The following is a 19,359-nucleotide window of genomic DNA, read 5'->3' on the forward strand; positions in this document are numbered from 1 at the left end:
CCCCTTGCCCCACCATATCCCTGAGGTATATCTCACTCAGAATGAAATGAACTTCAACAATTAGTATAGTTCATCAATGCAGACAGACATACGCGGAAAGTACGTTTGTTATGATGTTCTTACATTTGTTAGATTTCCATATTTTGTTTTTGATGTTTTCTTGTAATTTCCATGACTAAGTAGGTCCCCCTATTTGAGGTGTCTGTACTAAAGGTTCTGTACTAGTGCCTTCCTAATGACGGGACTTGGTTAAGTTGCAGATCTATGAGATCCTATGATTCCTGTTGACAATCCAAGAGACTAGAATTCAAGAAACTTAGATTATACAATTAAGTCTAAGCTCTTAAGGCTGAGCATATGGAATAAAAATGAGGTTATCCATAGTGGTATGGAATGTATGATCTTTATTAATTTTTAATCCATCAATCTAAAATCACACATACTAGATCAAACAGAAGTACCACAGTATGCTTTATTTTGCAGGTATTAATTGGTTCTCTAAATCGATACATCCAAAACTTTAGTTAGCAGCAAGCATCAGTTCTTCCAAAGCAGCTTAGGTGAAAAACAATTGTTTACATTCACCAGTTCAAAGTCGTACTGTCTGATCCACTGTTGTATTGACATAAAATTGAACTCAGTAGGCAAAGCTAATTGAACACTCAGCTCATAGATTTTGAGCTTCCTTTATCTTATTGGAGTTGAAGCAGTTTTTAACCCTCTGTTAATATTCTCTATTTTAATTCTCAAAGAATTAAACACACATATTTTCTAATTAATTAAGATAGAGCCATGATAACTATTGAGGAATTAGTGATATTAGTCTCATACCCAAAAGGTAGAACACTTTTAAATGAACCCATAATTTTGAATGTATCTGAATTTCCAGTTTATATGCTTAGCAAGGTCACAAGCTGATTTTATTAATCTGGCTTCTAGATAATCATCTCAAAAATATGTATTGAAACAAAGCCACTGTTTTTTATGATGACATCATTTTAACCAAATGCTTTTATAACAAATAAGCAGTTGTTCTCAAAAGAGAACATTTTAAAAGAAAACATTCTTTACATACTTAGCAAATAGAGGAGAGTGTGAATCTGTATGTCAGAGCTATAGAGTTCTAGAGGAGTTGTAGTTGAGCAATCTAACTTTCTACTCCAGTTTTTGAGATGTACATGTTTTTGAGATGTACATATAGAGAAGGCAGTAAAGAAAGATCTTGATAAATTTTCTTTAACAAAAATTTGTAATTCCAGTTATTGGCAAAGGGTTCTGGCATGAGTTAATGGCAGCAATACAGTGGTGAGCTTCTGCATTGTGCTGAGAGGTAGATTGGGACTTAATCCTTGGAATGAATAACCAACTCACTTTATTTAAGGTTCAGGCTTAATTTTTTTAATCCAAAAAAAATTTCTGAAGTGAAGGCAGATCTTTGGGAACTTTTGTTTTTAGTTAAATGTAGAGATAAAATAGCTTGATAAAATAAACATCTGCCTTATACTAATGACAGGTGTACAAAGCAGCCATTTGAACCCTAGACAACTTCAACACTGCTTCCAAATAAAAGGGCAATTCAACAGCTGAACCAATCAAGCAGACACAGGGATGAGTGGTCTCCAGTACCTTACTCCAGAAGCCGGAGCCATTAGCAGTCCCTACAGGGATATAAGTCTATATCAAGATCAACAAATGTACAGAATAATCTTAGTCCAGCTTTGGCTAGGCAGGCATCTGACTGATGACATATCAGGGCCCACTAACCTCTAGAGTAAGCACTTGTTGCTGTGAGAAAAAAGAAATCAATATATTAAAAATATCAACTAGAGCATATTCACATAGGGAATGGGAGAGTGCAGGAGGCACACAAACAAAGTATATAGAGTTTTTGTTTTCAGTGCAGGATAAATGAACCTTCTTAACAAGTTAAGGCTCTGAGGGAAAAAAACTTTCTAAACCATAACCTTAATAAACCATAACCCATACAGGTGTTCCAAATCAACACCTTTTTTAAAAAAAGCTGGAGGTCTTACTTCATCCTTCAGTATAAATGTCAAGTCTGAGATAATCAGTATATTCCAAACTCTAGAACAACAACAACAAAAAAAGAAATCTCCTTGTTAAAATATAGTAGCTATTAACAGTAATGAAGAAGACAGCCAAACTTTTGCTATTAAATACAATATCATGAAGCCATTTCTTTCTTAACTAACAGAAAAATACAGATTTAAATAATGCTGATCAGGAGGTGGGGAAAGGAAGTCTTATCATGAACCAAATTTCGTGTCTGCCACCAATGAAAATGAATCCACTATGTTCTTGAATTTATTTCCTGAAGCAAGTTAAATTCTTTAACACCTTTGATTTTGCAAATAACATCAAAGTAGTAAAATATAAGTAACTGTAACATATAAAATTACACATCAGCAAAAATGCTTTCATAATTGGATCCAGGGGCTTAAAATCATTATTTACTTAAAAAATTCTAAGCCACAATTTTTCTTTTAATTATACTTTAACAAAGGAAGAAAAAAAACAGAAAAAAATTGGTCCTAATATATTTTGTCTTAAATAAGTGTACTCATGCCCAAGTTAGCTAGGAACTCACTGAAGTTAGTCTGCATATCTTAAACAATCTATTGCACAGCATGTCCTGGCTTTTAGCCAATGGAAACGTAACTTCTAATTGAAAAAAACAAACAAACACTAGATTTAACTGATTACACAGACTGATAACCAGTACGACTTTTCCTTCTTCCAATCATATAAGAGATAAAGACAACAATTATAAGGAAGCCCAAGGCCACACCCACTGCAACAGGAATAAGAAAGTTGAGGTCAGAGTCAGCAGAACATTCTTCAGCTGTTAGAAAAGAACAGACAGCAAGGAAAGGAAATTAGCAAAGAATGCAATTAAGTAGTAAAAAGCATGCAAGAAACATGCATTTTGAAAGTGTACATAGCTTAGTTTTTTATAGCATTACCTCTATTTTCTTATTTGCTCAATATCTCATTATCACTTTATCTAAAATCACACGAAATTCCTCAGTACGAAAAGCAGAAGGTAAGGGAAGAATGGGAAGGGTCCAAAATAGAGAATTGCGCTTGCCTAATATGGGAAGACTTTAGGTTTGATTATCTAATGACACTGGGTTAAGGAGCCATCATCTACACTTAAAACCACTGCCTGTGTATTTCCCTACTCTCTTTCTCTTCGTCACACCTATAATTAAAGTATAAATAAGAATTCTGTATAAGTAATAAAATTTAAGTTAAAAAAGACTTAGGATCAAGAATGTAGTATATATATACATATATATGTGTGTGTATATATATGTGTATATATATGTATATGTGTATATATATGTGTGTGTGTATATATATGTGTGTGTGTGTACATATATATATATATACACACACACACAATTATTTTTAGCTGAGCGGTGGCCTGGAAGAATAACAGCAGTATCTAATGCGTTGCAGTCCATTCCACCGAACCACCAGGAAAGCAACATGTGCAATGTAGATTTTGAGTTCTGGATTCAGACAGAACTGTGTTTAAATCTTGACTCCTTCCAGTACTAGCCAAAGGACCTTGGGCAAGTTATTTAAACTGGGCCTCACTTTCCTCATCTGTAAGAAGGGGATAATAATACCTATAAGGTATTTGAGGATTAAATACAATTACATTTCTAAAGCATCTGATACACATCAAGAGGTCAACAAGTATTCATTCTCTTCTCTTTTCCTCTTATGCTCATGATCCCATCTGAGGAGGATTAGGTTTTGAAGTAGCAAACAGAGATTAAAATAGAAGTGTTTTGGTATATTACTACTGAAAAAGCCCATATTAGTATTAAAAAAAAAACTTAAGCAAAACATAGTACGGAAGCCCAAAGTGCCCAATTCTGATCTCATAATTTCAAGTGTAAACCAGCTGTTGTTTTACTGTTGAGTGACTAGATTTCATTAGGGGCAATTTTTATCAAAATGCTAGTAATAGTTTTGTTGCCCACTTGATATGGAACCTCAATGAATTTCACTCCCCTTTCTGTAAATAATCGTTAAGGTCCTTTCCAGTAATAGCTAATGAAATTAACAAAATGTGTTATCTGGTGTGATTTATGATTAAGCAATAACTTGTACTTTTCTTCTAATTTTAACTTTTCCTCCTCTTGTACTTTTACCATTCATAAAAATGTTGCTACGGTTCTGAGTACACAACACTCATCTCAGTAACCACACATTAGCCTATGCTGAAAGAATTTACTATATTTTACTGAAAGCTCTCAAAGACTGACAGCTGGGTAACAAGATACACTGTATTGTTAATCAGGAAGTTATAGAGACTCTGATCATGCCCCTATATACATACAATGGGTTAATAATACTTCAATGTGGAAGTCTTCTAGTCTATTAAGCCTTCCTTCTTTATCTATGTTTCATGTCTGTGCTACTCTTATACCATGGAATATGCTTCAACAAGGGCTGATTATCTAGCTCATTTTAATGCCAACAGCTTCTCTTTACACCCCCATCTATGCACTGCCCCACAGGGGCCATCTTGAAGAAACAAGAGCCTAGTTGCTATGCTTCACTGCCTCCCTTCTGAGATTGCTGTTAGCTTACATTTCATAAGTACCACACTGATGACAACACTAAATAGATTTTAATGCTCCAGAGATCAACAAGATGAGGTAGAGAAACACAACACAATCTGTCCTAATTAGTTCATAGAATATTTCTATCTTTCAATACTAATCAGGCATCCAAAGAAGAACAAAACAAGAAACAAAAAAGCAAGTGGCTAAATATGCTTGGATCTTTTCAGTCTATATTGCTGAAAAACAAACAATTATCTTAAAAACTCTAATTACGAAGCCAGTTTAAGTTCTGTTGTAGCCTCTTGGGTCTGTATCATCCCTAGGGAAAAATCACAGGCTTGAGGTACTAACTTCATGCTTAACTTGAACTCAGAGAAATCAGCAAAAGTCACATAACCTTTAAAATGCTGATGGTCCTGAGGACATTCTCTACTTCATTCAACTGAAAACCAAGTTTAAGCATATCTGATGGGCATTTATACCACATCAATATTTATTTAATGAACTTTATGCAAAGGCACATTGATGAGTTTAAATCACTATAGTCCTTATACATTGAAACAGAACACCAGTAGTGAAATGACATTTATTAATTCCATTAAGACACAACTACATATTTTATTCTTATAATGGCCATGTTAATAAGTTCAAGGCATACTTCAAGGTTAGGATCAAAATTTGGCCAGGGCTTCTTAAGATAGACCTTAAAACATTGCACGTTGATGTTCTTTTGAACAAGTTTGTCTCCAGGACCAGTAAATATGACACTTTGGATTTTAAGCTGATTAAAGAGAACAGGTTTTATTAATAAAGACTGATCTCAAAATGCTGGGATTGATAAAAGAATTAAAGTTTCAACATATCAATTTTAAGAAGCAAAGTGTTTCAACAACTGAGAGGTAAGAAAATCTTGTTATTTGCATGTATTTTTATATAATCAATCAGGTTGCAGATTCTAAAATTGCTCATATCCAGCATGATGGTGCTTGAGACCAATAAAATAAGCCAGCAACACTAGAATAAGTACTCCTGCCAAGGCAGCTCCCACCGCTATGGGCACAAGGAAGTTGTCGTCATCTGCACTGCAGTCTTGAGCTAGATGTGGAGAAAGGACAATTGAGAACAGAAACAGTGACAAACTTTCAAATCTGTGTATTTTGAGTAAAATGACAGCACTTCCTAACACGCATATTTTGGTTTTTTATACCAAGGTAACAAGTCATTGGCATTTCATTATCAGCAAATGAGATGTTCCACAAAAGTGATTTTCCAAATAACCAAATAATACACTTTTAAGTACCAAGTAAAAATGCAGTCATTTTGGATGAAAAATGTATAACATGGTCACATAGTTCCCAGATTTCTTAAACAGAACATAATGAACAAATCTAATTAGCCTTGCCTTGATGATCAGGCCGTGAGCTTTCAGAGGCAAACTGTTATGATGTCGAAGAAGCACAATGCTTCAAATATTGCTGTTAAGTATTAACTCACTGAATGAACAACTATACAAAGCAGACATAAGAACTCAATACATTACAATCTGGGATCATTTACTAATGGGAAAAGAGATATAAGAGATATAAGTGGGCCCTGATGACATAACTGTTTGCCTCAAGATGCTCAGTCTAGTGTTAGAGTCAGACAAGAAAAATCAGTGGTTATAATTTCAAAATGTGTTGTGGTAGGAGTAGGCAACACAAAGTGCCATGGAAAAATTTCAGAGGCACACTCAAGTTCAGCCTTATTACATAAGACACACTTTGAAAAGGTGACACTTGAGCTGAGATTTTAAGAATGAATAGGAATTAATGATGCAAGTAATGGGGGAAGGGCATTCCAGGTATAAGAAATAGCACAGACAAAAATATGGAGAGTAAAAAGACATAGCACTTCAAGGGAAACGCAAGCAGGTTGGCAGAGCTAGAACAATGGATCAAAAGGTATTTTTGGCTGGATAGAAGGCAGAAAAAGTGTGCAGGGACCCAGGTCACAAAGGTACTATATGCTCTTAGGTAGTCTGGCCTTATCCTGATGAAAAAAAAATTCAGCAGCAGGATATTAAGCAGGATTTCATTTCAGAAGTTATGGCAGATGGAGGTAGTAAGGTAGGACATATCTTTATCACTAGAGTCCAGGTAACCAATAATATTGTCCTGAGCTGGATTAATGAAGTGCAGAAGAAAAGCAGAAGGCACAGACTGGAGATCAAATTAGAAGGCAAAATTGACCAAACGGATGTAGGGGGTGTACGAGGAGGAGATAATAGAATGGTTTCCAATTCCACACTTGACTGATTATGTAGATGCTGGTGCCATTCTATAAAAGAGGAAGAATATATGCATTTCAGTTTTTTGTAGTTATATGGAACAGGTGGTAAAAAGGATACGTGGAAGAGAGAGATGCTCAGTTTTAGATATGTGAGTTTAAGATATCTGTGTCCTTAGTTGAGCATGGTAGCTTACGCCTGTAGTCCTAGCTACTTGGGAAGCTGAGATGGGAGAACTGTTTGAGCCCAGGAGTTCAAGACCAGCCTGGGCAGCATATCGAGAACCCATCTCAAAAAAAAAAAAAAAATCACTATGTCCTAACCAAGTGGCTATATGAACCTAAGTGGTAGTTAAAACATGGGCAAGAACATTTCTCAGTAAGGGGAAGTAGAATAAAAAGAGGATCAGAGACAAAAACCCTTGGGAACACCAATACCTGTGGGATAGACAATGGAGTAGGAAAAAGATGTAAAAGGGCAGATAGAAAATGGCGCCAGAGAAGCTAAGGATGGAACGTTTCAATTAAGGTGGAAAGACAGCAAATAATAGTAGAAAGCTTTGAAACATGTCCATTGCCTCTAGCAATATGAAGGGTGGGAGATATGAGTAAAATTGCTGCAGGTTTAAGAGGGAATGGGAAGTGATTGGTTAGGACATCAAGAACTTGGGCAGGGTAACAAATACAATACTCATTTTGAGAAGTTTAGAATGATTAAGGCAGGACAAAAGGGAGGTAATTAGAAGGGGGACATAGGGACAAGAAAGGATAGCTTAAGGTTAGAAGAACTTAAATAGGATGAGGGAAACAGCCATTAGCAATTGACAGAAGATGCTGAATGGTACAAGTTCTCCTACAAGTTAAGAGATTGAATTCCAAAAGCGTAAGACATTAAGAACTCAATACATAACAATCTGGGGTCACTTAGTAATGGGAAAAGAGATATAAATGGGCCTTGATGACATAACTGTTTGCCTCAGTTTAACCAGGAAAAGAAAACCTACTCTGAGACTGGAGAGGAGGAAGGAATGCTACAGATGGATACACTTGCAGGAAAGAAGTTAACTGCTATTTCTATTTCCCATTTCCTGTGTCTTGTTGCCCTAGTTCTCTGCCTAGCTTGCAGTCTACCAGGGACTGATAAATCAGATAACTAAGCTTATTAGAATTGTATCAAAGATAGGACAAATAGGCTGCATGGCAATTCTGATTGTGCTTGCATTCAAGAAATGTGCCAAGCTTTCCCCGCCGCCCCCACTAGCCTCTGGGGCAATAACTAGGAACAAAATGCAACCCTGGAGTTTATAAACTTTTCTGACATTGACTTGGGCTGCCAGTTCAATTATTTGTTTTACTTGCTTCTTGGTTCTGTTAAGAATCCAGAGAGCTGAGGCTGCCAGATGTGACCTGTGAATAGATGGTGTTAAGAATCCCCAGTTAGCACCTCCCCTACAATTTCCCAAATTACCACCCAGCCCATAAACTATTAGGTGACATGTACCATAAAGTATTATGCCGTGGGTTTAATATAACTTGGTTTTTTAAAAATTCATTAGTAGATTAATTTCTTATTCTGGCAACAGACTCATAGTTCTCTCTTTCCCAAATTGGGTATTTGACCTAGTACTGAAACGACTTTCATAAATACTGCCAATAAGGCTTTCATGTAAGACAAATATTCTCAGAGTAGCTCAAAAAGGCAATTCCGCTAATACAAAGATCTTTCTAGATACTGTCATTTACTTAAAATGCTCTCAATTAGTATGTGAAATATTAATTTATAATAACTATTGATTGTATGAATTCAACCTTTAAAAATTATTTAGTTAATGGAAAAAATGTTGGTAAAACAGTAACTTTAATGGGATCACATTCTGAAGAAAAGAAAATCTCATCCTATAAGTCATTTTGATCTGATCTACTTGCCTAATGTATACTTAACGCTGTATTGAAAATGCTTCTGGGGAAAAGAGAAGTGTATTTGCAGAAGAATTTAATAGCCACAGAAGCAATAAAGATTTTTAAAGATTAAAAAGTTCCATGGCCACTAAAATTTCAGTAAGAAGTTTCATGTAGATTAAAAATGCTGTTAATCTTCAATTTTCTGCCAGTTCAGACATTTTTCAAACACAATTTTCAACACAAGAACTGGAAAGCTGAGGTATACATTTACAACAAAAACTAATAAAACTTCTCTTAAAAACCAGTTGAGGCCAGGCACAGCGTTTCATGCCTATAATAACAGCAGTTCAGGAGGTCGAGGTAGGCAGATCACTTGAGGTCAGGAATTCGAGACCAGCCTGGCCAACATGGCAAAACCCCATCTCTACTAAAAAAATAAAAAGGTAGCCAGGTGTGGTGGCACTCGTCTGTAATCCCAGCTACTTGGGAGGCTGAGGCATAAGAATTGCTTGAACCTGGGAGGCGGAGGTTGCAGTGAGCTGAGATCACACCACTATACACACCCAAGCCTGGGCAACAGAGCGAGACTCCATCTCAAACAAAACAAAACAAACAAACAAACGAGTCAAAACTTCTTTTTGGAAGGATCCACATTAAGAAGCACATTCTTAGGTGATATTTTGTTATATACATTTTATATCTATAATCAAACTGTGTTAAGTAAATCACATGCATCTGAAAAGATTCGTGAAGCTACTCAATATCATTCATGAATATCTATACCAGTTTCAAATACAAGAAATGGTGATTATTAACGCAGAAAGTTAGCTACCAGGGTAAAAGAAAAGGAGATGGGTGGAAGATGAGCCCAAGACAATTTAACATTATCTACCTAAATAAACAGATGAAATACTATCATCTTAAAAATGTCCAAGTCTTATAAGAATTCCTCCTGAAAAACTGCAGGAAACTTAAGTGGTACATTTTACACTGAACTTATAGTATGTTCTTGATACGTAACAAGTAGCTTATCAGATTCCTTCTAAAATACTAAGATGTATGAAATACTATGATGCATTCCTCTGAAATGCAAATTATCACTCAAAGAAATGAGTAGCAGGATTTTAAAGCCCCCACCCACTGGATGAAGAAATTGAGACACTAGAAGTTAAACAACTTGGCCAAAGACAATGGTAGTTAACTGCAGAGTTTGCAGCCGTGATGACTAACTGGCATTCACATGGCTTAACTGGGTAATTCAGAGAAAAGTTACCAGCTACATTGCTAAGTTTTCTTATGTGATATAGTAAGGTGACTAGGTAACTATCCGTATATGGAAACTGGAAGGCTCAAGTATTTTAGAGTGATCTAAGTAAGAGAGAGACTGCACACAATCCTACGTTGGTTCAGATCAATAGCTCAATATGTATGGCTGCAATGTAAAGCTACTATGTAGAGATATTGAATATCAACCTCAACTTAGGAATTGAGAAAAGTGTACAAAGAGATACTCCGCAGCTTTTATTATGAAATAAATATTCTAGATCACTGGTTCCCTAACTGACTATGCATCAGGTTCAGCAGGGGAGCTTACACACACACACACACACACACACACACACACACACACACACTCTCTCTCTCTCTCTCTGTCTCTCTCTCTCTCTGTCTCCTCATTAGACCTACTACGTTAAATCCTCTAAGGATGCAGCCTGGAATCTATTTTTATAAAACGCTTCCCAGGTTGATCTTATTCTGTAGCCTGCCTAGCATCAATCGAGGCCTATGTATGGGACTATTCTTCCAGATGGTAATATACAGACAGAACATCAGAACATTTTGCAAATAATTCAGTTCTACTTCTAAACATTTCTAAAGTTTTTCCATTTGAAAGAAATTGCCATTATGTAGTATACAAAATCTTGACTTTAACCAACGGGAAAAAAGGTAAGCAAATTGCCTTAAGAAATAAAAGAATCTTTATTGTTTTAGAAGCAATTTTGAGCAAACAGACAGGCAAATATCTAAAGATACCATACATCAACTAGTGGTTTAAACATTTGAAGAAAAAACATGGAAAGTATTTACATGGACCAGTTTCTTTATACAAATGCTAAAACATGAAAAACACCCAAAACCAGATAGAGCGTTACCATCAAGGTATGAATCTAGTAATACAAATAAAACTACAAAAGGTACAAAGAACATGTAGCTATAGGAAATAATAGTGTAAATAGCAGTATATAAACTGGCCCATGTAAAATACAAAAATATTCACTGAAGTCAGGTTTTCTATAAAACAGTGTTTATTAGAGGTATTTTACTATGAATCAGGCATATAATCTGAATGTAGAAACTTTTAGAAATATTAACAGCATTCAGTCAGTGCCATGCACTTGTGCTTCCAATTATTTTTTTAAAGCTGCTTTGTTTTGACTCATGTGAAATAGTTAAGGCCTACATTCTTATACACATTATCCATCTTACAAGGTTAACAATTTTACACTAAAACACAGTTTAAATTAAAAACGATTTTGAAAAATTACATCTATATTTAATCCCTAAGAAGTGTTTTAAGCTGGTAATGCAGCTCGCTGTAGCTCTAAGAGAGGGGTTAGTCAGGAATCTGATCTTGAGCCATAAAGGTTTTCAGGCTAAACAAAGAACAAATTTAAGTGACGGAAAATATTTATAATTCCAATATAACTCAGTTATATTGTTATAAAAATACCCATGCTAGCATGCAACTGCCTATATATGTGTGCATATATATATATATGTCTGTGTGTGTGTATTGATCCATTCAATGTCAATATTTTGGAACCCAGACAATTTTCTCATTTTCTAGTGAATGGGAGGCACATAATCCCACCACAAAAAAAAAAAAAACACGAAAAAACAACCCCACAGGAACCTTCCATATATGGCTGCATATTAACAATTTTAATATTTGCTCAGCCATTCCAACACACACCAAAAAAGTTCTCCTAGAAGCAGCAAGAAATATTTGATGTGTTAACTACCAAGCTGATGTATTTTGCTTTCTCCTATAAACATTAGGTGGTACACGGTAATTTGACAATTGGTACATCTCTCAGACCACAAAACTGAACACAAAGCACGTGAATTAAAAATGATTCTACCATAATGAATAATAACAACGAAAGTTTTGATTAGCACAGAACCATTTAAATGTGAAAGCCAAATTAGTGATGTTGTAGCAATCAATGCAAGCTGGAAACAAAGAACAACTTTTTAATGGATTAAGATAAAACCAAGACTTTTTGGTTAGATGCAAGTTTTGTTTGTTTGTTTGTTTTGTTTTGTTTTGTTTTGAGATGGAGTTTCGTTTTTGTCGCCCAGGCTGGAGTGCAATGGTGCGCTCTTGGCTCACCGCAACCTCTGCCTCCCGGGTTCAAGTGATTCTCCTGCCTCAGCCTCCCGAGTAACTGGGATTACAGGCGCCCACCACCACGCCCAGCTAATTTTTTGTATTTCTGATAGAGATGGGGTTTCACCATGTTGGCCAGGCTGGTCTCAAACTCCTGGCCTCAAGTGATCCACCCACTTCGGCCTCCCAAAGTGCTGGGATTACAGGCGTGAGCCGCCACGCCCAGCCTAGATGCAAGTTATTTTATAAGTGTAAGTGCACTTCGTTATCTAGGTTCTAGGACACACTGGCATTTCTTAAGAAAAAGAAAATAATAAAATACATCACTATCAACAAGAAATGTTGGAAGGCTAAAGAGAAATCTGCATTAATTTTAGTACTGCATACAGAGGCCAATTTATGAGCACAAAGTACTAATGCCCTCAATTGGCACTGGCAAGCAATTATCTCTAAAGCACCTAAAAAATGGATTGAAATGCCCAGTTGGAATAGTCTTATATATTGCAATTTAAAAGATTGAAATATCCAGTTTTTTTAAAAAAAAGATTAAACAATAAGATTAATACCTACTCTAAATTTTAAAAAGCTTTTGTATCTTTTGTCATTACAGCCACATAAATACAAATGTATTCAAAAGGCATTAGAAAAGCATTTATTGCTAAGAACATAATAATACCAGCCCCTGTTCAAATCTACTATTATATCTCTCAAAGGTCAAATATGCAGCAATGCCAAAGTAGCTAAGTTAACCTGCAAACAAAAATCACACACACACACACACACACACACACACACACACACACAAAAAGAGCAAAAGGAGCAAGTACAAATCCACGGTAGAACATGTTGTTCCAACTCAACTACCTGCAGGGAAAAAAAATCTCTTTTTCAAAAATTGTTTTTTCTAAACGGTGTATTTTTAGTCTGAATGTCTAAAATGAAAACACTGAAATACTAATTCAAGACAGTAAAATAGAACTTATAATCCAGTGATTTTGCACATCTTTTGCTGTAAAAATAACAGTTTTAAATTCCTTGGTTGGAAAAACCAAAGTCAGGCAACTAATTTGTAGTTGATAGTTTTTTGTTTAAGTTTGAAATCCCCCATACCACCCATTCTAAAGAGCTGGACTGCAACTAAATATACCTTAAGTTGACCAGTATTGCATGTTGGAACTTGTACTTGCTTTTTTCTTTTGTAACAGAGATCACGTATTGATTAGTGTTACAGAGTCTGATATCCAGCATAACTTTTTCTTCTGCCAATTACGTAAGCAATCACTATAACGATAATCAAGCCTGAAAGACCAGCACCAACTATAATTGGGATTAGAATGGTGTCATCATCCAGCGAACACTCTTGGGCTGTAGGTGAGAAAAAGTGTGTAATAAATAATGAGTATAATCACAAAAGAATGTCTCGAAGTCAAAGATGTTGATTTAAAAGTCAGAAATGTTCTTACAAGATCAACTTCAAGTAACTAAGACAGGTATATTTTTATGATAAAGCTATAGAAAATGGAGAACTGTTCTAGAATTAAAATTCTAAGACTTTCTTTGTCCTTTCATTTGTTTATGTGTATATATGCAGATATTCATATATATGAATACATGTATATTCATTTACATCTATAAACACAGCTCATATTGTAATGTGCATATATTATATGCACATTGTATATGTGTGCATATATATAATATATGCACATTATATATGATATATAATGCACACATTATATATATGATATATATTTTATATGTGATATATATGTGTGCATATACATATACATACACACATATATGTTTGTTTATATTCCAAGTCCTTTCCAAAATAGGCATATTACTTTATCAGAAATAAAGGGAGCTAATCTAGCCCACTTTTACATAGCCAGATTAGCCTCTCAGTGGTAGAGTGAATGTCTTTTGGGAAAGTGGAAACAGGATCAGGAAGGTATCATGTGATGAGAATAGCCAGGCTGGCTCTGTCTTTAGGGTCAGGGGTCAGCAAGCTGTAGCCCATGGGCCAGATCTGGTCCAAGAGCTAAAAATGGCCTTTACATTTTTAAATGGTTGAAAAAAATATTTTGTGACACATGAGAGCATATAAAATTCAAATTCCAGTGTCCATAAATAAGGTTTTATTGGAACCCAGCCACAGTCATCTGTTTATGTGTTGCTGTTTTCGTGCTACAATAGCAGGGTCAAATAGTTGTGACAGAGACCATATGGCACCAAAGCCTAAAACACTCACTGTTTGGAACTTTAAAGTTTGCAGATCGTGACTTAGTACATACAATTTTAGTGGCTGCAAAGTCAAGAAAACTGGGACCTCTTACTAATTTGAGCGTGCTTACTGCATTTCTTATCTGGTCAGGGTTGGCAGCCTAAGGGGGCTATTTTTTTCTACTTCTAGAAAGTGGTCTGATCCAGTAAAATCCAATCAACACTCTTCTGCCTTATTGCAATTCTATTTCTTTCCCCATACAGTCAAATATTACCTATGTGTTGTATTTATAGGTACCCACAGCCAAGAACCTAGTTCCACAAATAGATTATACATTCAATATCAGTATTAAATGCTGTATATCTCTTTGGGTGATATTTTTAATTCTATGTACATAAAAACCAAAGTTTCAAAGTAAGAGAAAGAGCACAGCTCATCTCTATTACAGGTGACTAGATAAACAGTCTTGAAGTGATGATACTAATACTGCAAACGATTTTAAACTGTAAACACAAATCTGGACTTAAAATTAGGGGAATAATGAAGGGGAGCCAGATAAAAAGTCCAAAAATAAAGCTACTAAAGGATCAAAATAATTGAAGTACATAAGCAAAACAGACAAAAGGGAAAATGAATTCTTGAAAATATTTTTAAAGTGTAACTAACGTCTTTAATCGCAAGAATGGTAGGGTGGAGAGCCCAATTTATTGTGGCCTAACCAAGTCAGACTAGGTATTCAACACCACTGCAAAAGTAGTCGAATGGCTCACAGTATATTCGCTTTTAAACACAGCTTCCACATTTCCTTCCAAACCATAGAATTAATGGTTGAAAAGGATGTGGATGCCTGGAATAGCTAGCTCTGCTCAACAGAGTTGTGATCCACAAACCCCCAATTTTAGGTAATAGGCTTAAAAGGACAAGTCAATTAAGGAATTTTATGTGCTTTTTTTCTTCATGCAAATTTTAATCTTGTAATGCCAAATATGTCTTTCATATTCGTATGAACACATTATAATGAGCCCTTCAAAAGGTTTCATTAAAAATCTAATAAATACCACCATTATCCCTGAGTGATCTTCAAAAAGCGTCATTCACACTGGCACATGCTTTGAAAACTCTCCAGATCGTTTTGGCTGGTAAAAACATAGTTCATGATATTTGAGGCTTTGCTACCGCTCTTTATCTTTTGTCTTAACAAAATCAGACCAAACTGCTTTCATTCAGGTATGAAAATGTTTCCAGTGAGAAGACGGCCTCAGGAAGCAGATGCAAGATGCTCAAAGCTGCTGCTCCCAAGTGCCATCTTCCCTACAAACTAAAACCCATACCTCAAATAAAGCTCACTTAAAGCTTCTATCAGTTTTAGCTTTAAGAACTTTTTTTGCAAATGATTTTAAGATCACAAAAACATCTCGGTTGAGCAAAATGATGAGCCAAATATAGAGTTGCACAATTTGGTCAAGGCTATGAATTCATATTCCTCTATTTCAACGTTTAAATGTCTATGATTCAAAGGAAAAGCCACCTGTCAACATAAGAACATAAATTATTAATGAAGTTTGCTTGATTCTTACCTGTAGAATACTTTCCTTGTGTCACATTGAAAGGCTGAACCCTTAGATCAAAGGTATTTATCTGAAATGCTCCAGACACTGAAACAGTCTGCTCTTTGTTGCACATATAAGAACTTCCCAGGGGGGCATCCCAGTAGCTGAGATTGTTATTTGCAATGCTGAAAACTTCAAAGAAAAGAAACAGGTTAGTAACTTCTTATCCTATCAACATCAAAAATGGGAAAGTTGGCCAGGCACAGTGGCTCACGCCTGTAATTCCAGCACTTTGGGAAGCCAAGGTGGGCAGATCACGTGAGCCCAGGAGATCAAGACCAGCCTGGGCAACATGGTGAAACCCTGTCTCTACAAAAAATACAAAAAAAAATTAGCTGGGCATGATGGTGCACACCTGTAGTCCCAGCTACCTAGGAGGCTGAGGTGGGTAGTTGGCTTGAACCTGGGATTGAGCTGTGGTCACACCCCTGCAATCTGGCCTGGGCATAGAGCGAGACCCTGTCTCAAAAAAAAAAAAAAAAAAAAAAAGGAACAGTCCTCAGGGTTTTTCAGTGAAGGCCTGGGGGACAAGATCAACCCACAAAAAGCAATTCTTACCATAACTAGGTTCCCTTATCTTTCTATAGATGTTTCTATAGTCTAAAAATCAGTCATATCCTTAATTATTATCTACTCTACTTTGAAAAAATGGGATACAGAAAAAGACAGAACATCATAGTTCTAAGTTACTGATTTTAAGGTATGATCAAGGTACACTTTTTACATAGCATCTTCTGTTTCATTAAATAAGGCACTATTTGGTAATAAGACCATTGTAATTTCTAATCCTTCAGGGTAATCCACAGTCTTTTTCCCCAGGCCAGTGCTTTGCTTACCGGAGCCATTAACCAAATACATGCTGATGTTCACTTCCTTCAGATAAAATCGGTTTTCATTTTTCTGTTTGAAAAAGAGCTTCCAGTTAATTAACATTTCACAACTGTCTACAGATAACAGATACGGTTAATACCCACAGAAGAAAAGCAATCTAACACTATTACACAGAAGAAGAAATCATGCGGTAGAATAAACTGCAACTAAGTAAAAGAGAACTCATAATCTGACAGAAATCCCTTTCCTCTGTATTTTGTTTCCAACTTTTGGAGCACAGGTGTAGTCATGTGGATCTCAGACACTTGAAGATTTATGGCCTCAATTTTATTCCTCCTGTCACTTGCTGAGCCCTCACCACCTCTAGCCTGGATCACAGCAGCCTCTTAAGTGGGCTCCCTGCCTTTCAGCCCCTCCAGTCCTAATCTTTCCTTTTCACTGCTATTATCTTTCTGAAGTACTCATCTGATCAGCCAGTCATTCTAATAATTTCAGAGTGCAAGTACTCCAGGAGCTACCAAAATGAACCACACTTCAATCCTGCCTTCACCCTGTTTGCAATCTGCCAGGGAAGGTAAGATAAACACATAAACAACCATATTACAAAAAAGAAAGTGAGAAGTCATGAAAATAGGAGAGAAATCACTTCCAAATAAGGGAGGAGAAAAAGTAATGCCAGCTTAGGGATGGGGCATTTTGAACCGGGCAGGATTCTCTTAGGAAACAAGTGGGAAAAGGGGTATTTGAGAGAGCAAGAGTATAAATAACGGTAGTTAGAAAATAAGCATAATCTCAAATTTTTATGCTAGCATTTGAGCACTTACTAAGTGCCCAGCACTGTTCTTAAAACTTTACATATGATGCTTCGCTGAGTAAGTACAACACTCCTATGCAATAGGTGCTGTTATCATCCCCATTTTGGGAGTATGGCTGCGGAGTCTATGTAATTATTATTACTATGTTCTCCTACCTCACAAGAAGTGCACAGAGGACAGGATGAGGGAAGCACCCTGAAGGAACTAAAGGAAACATAAGGTTCATAAAGAGGGAGTGAAGGCTGAAAATGCAGGCTGCATTGCATGGGAGAAAAGAAGGCTTGAACTACCCAGCCATGGACTTTAGATGTTACCTTGTTGGCAAAAGAGAAACATTGTGAGGCAGGCAGACCATGAGGTCAGGAGATCGAGACCATCCTGGCTAACACGGTGAAATCCCGTCTCTATTAAAAATACAAAAAATTAGCCAGGCGTGGTGGCACATGCCTGTAGTTCCAGCTATTTGGGCAGCTGAGGCAGGAGAATCGCTTGAATCTGGGAGGCGGAGGTTGTAGTGAGCTGAGGTCTCGCTACTGCACTCCAGCCTGGGCGACAAAGCGAGACTCTGTCAAAGAAAGAAAAGAAAAGAAGGAAAAGAAGAAAGAAGGAAGGAAGGAAGGAAGGAAAGAAAAGAAAAGAAAAAAGAAAAGAAAGAAAGAAAGAAAAGAAAGAGAGAAACACTGATGGAGAGATGTGCTTTAGGAAGGTTAAGTTGATGTAGAACAATGGAGAAGGTGAGGAAGAGGAGCAATCAGGCAGGAGCTGTTTGAATGGTCCAGGCAAGAGGTAATGTGGACTGGACCCAGAGCAAAGGCAATGGGGAGTAAAAGCTAGGAGACAGACTTCAGAGAAATTTCAGGAAGAAGCATAATGGAGGACTTCACACCTTCATCACATCCCTCCTCGACTTAGGCTACATCTTGGCTTTGCATTCAAGACTCCACAATTTGTCCCAATGACTTTTCCACATTTTCACTAAACATATAACACTCCTCATTCTCCCAGCTGGTCTTGATTATGCCCTTTATCCAGGGATAACCTGCACTTTCCCACTTACTCTCCTTATCTCCCTACCAATACAAATCAGACCCATCCTTGAAGGCCCAGCTCAAATGCCATCTCTGCCATTAAACCTTCCTGACTCTCCTCCAGCCGGAATTAACCTCTCCCTCCTCCATTCTCCTGCAGCACTTTGTACTATTCTCTGGTCTGGCACTCATCCCATTTCATATACACCTTCCACAGTACTATACTGCCTACAGAATCGAGTTCAAAAGCCTTGGCATGGCATGTAGGCCTTTCACAAAAATGGTAATTATTTGCAGATTTCTCCCATTACCACTAAACTGTGGGCACTTTAAGAATACTGGCTTTCTTCTCCATAACCCACCATAGCAGCCTGCACATAACGCACTCGAATTCTATAAATTCTCCTAAGGAGCATCTATCATGACAGGGTTGAAGGCAAAAATGGGCCCCACTGAACTCTGGGGACATTGCAGGTGTCTCTTGATTTTTCAGAGTGCCTGTAGCATGATTAAAATGTCACTATTTTGGATTACGTTTTAAGATAGCCTGCTGGGTAAATTAAATATTGTAATTCTTAAATACTAAACATTGCCGTATAAGAGTCAAGAGAAATCATGTTCCTTTTAGGAGTCTACCACAGCTAGAAAGATCAAACTCAATCACTTGAAAGGGAATAAACCCAAAA

General features: G+C 36.6%; 1 protein-coding gene across 3 annotated transcripts in view; it reads right to left on the reverse strand.

Annotated features, from left to right (window-relative positions):
* LAMP2 (lysosomal associated membrane protein 2) overlaps positions 385-19,359 on the reverse strand; it is a 43,202-nt gene continuing 24,227 nt past the window's right edge. The window contains exons 7-9 of one of the 3 annotated variants that reach the window (NM_001122606.1): positions 16,836-16,899; positions 15,967-16,131; positions 385-2,863 (exon numbers count right to left, since the gene is read on the reverse strand). In NM_001122606.1, the coding sequence (NP_001116078.1) occupies positions 2,721-2,863; positions 15,967-16,131; positions 16,836-16,899 (372 nt within the window). In that variant the 3' untranslated portion in view covers positions 385-2,720. Of the gene's footprint in view, positions 5,700-10,730; positions 13,531-15,966; positions 16,132-16,835; positions 16,900-19,359 lie in introns of those variants that run through there. The other 2 variants (NM_002294.3, NM_013995.2) reach the window with 2 other exon arrangements.

The sequence above is a fragment of the Homo sapiens genome, chromosome X, assembly GCF_000001405.40.
Source record: "Homo sapiens chromosome X, GRCh38.p14 Primary Assembly".
In the NCBI taxonomy this organism is placed as follows: Eukaryota; Metazoa; Chordata; class Mammalia; order Primates; family Hominidae; genus Homo; species Homo sapiens.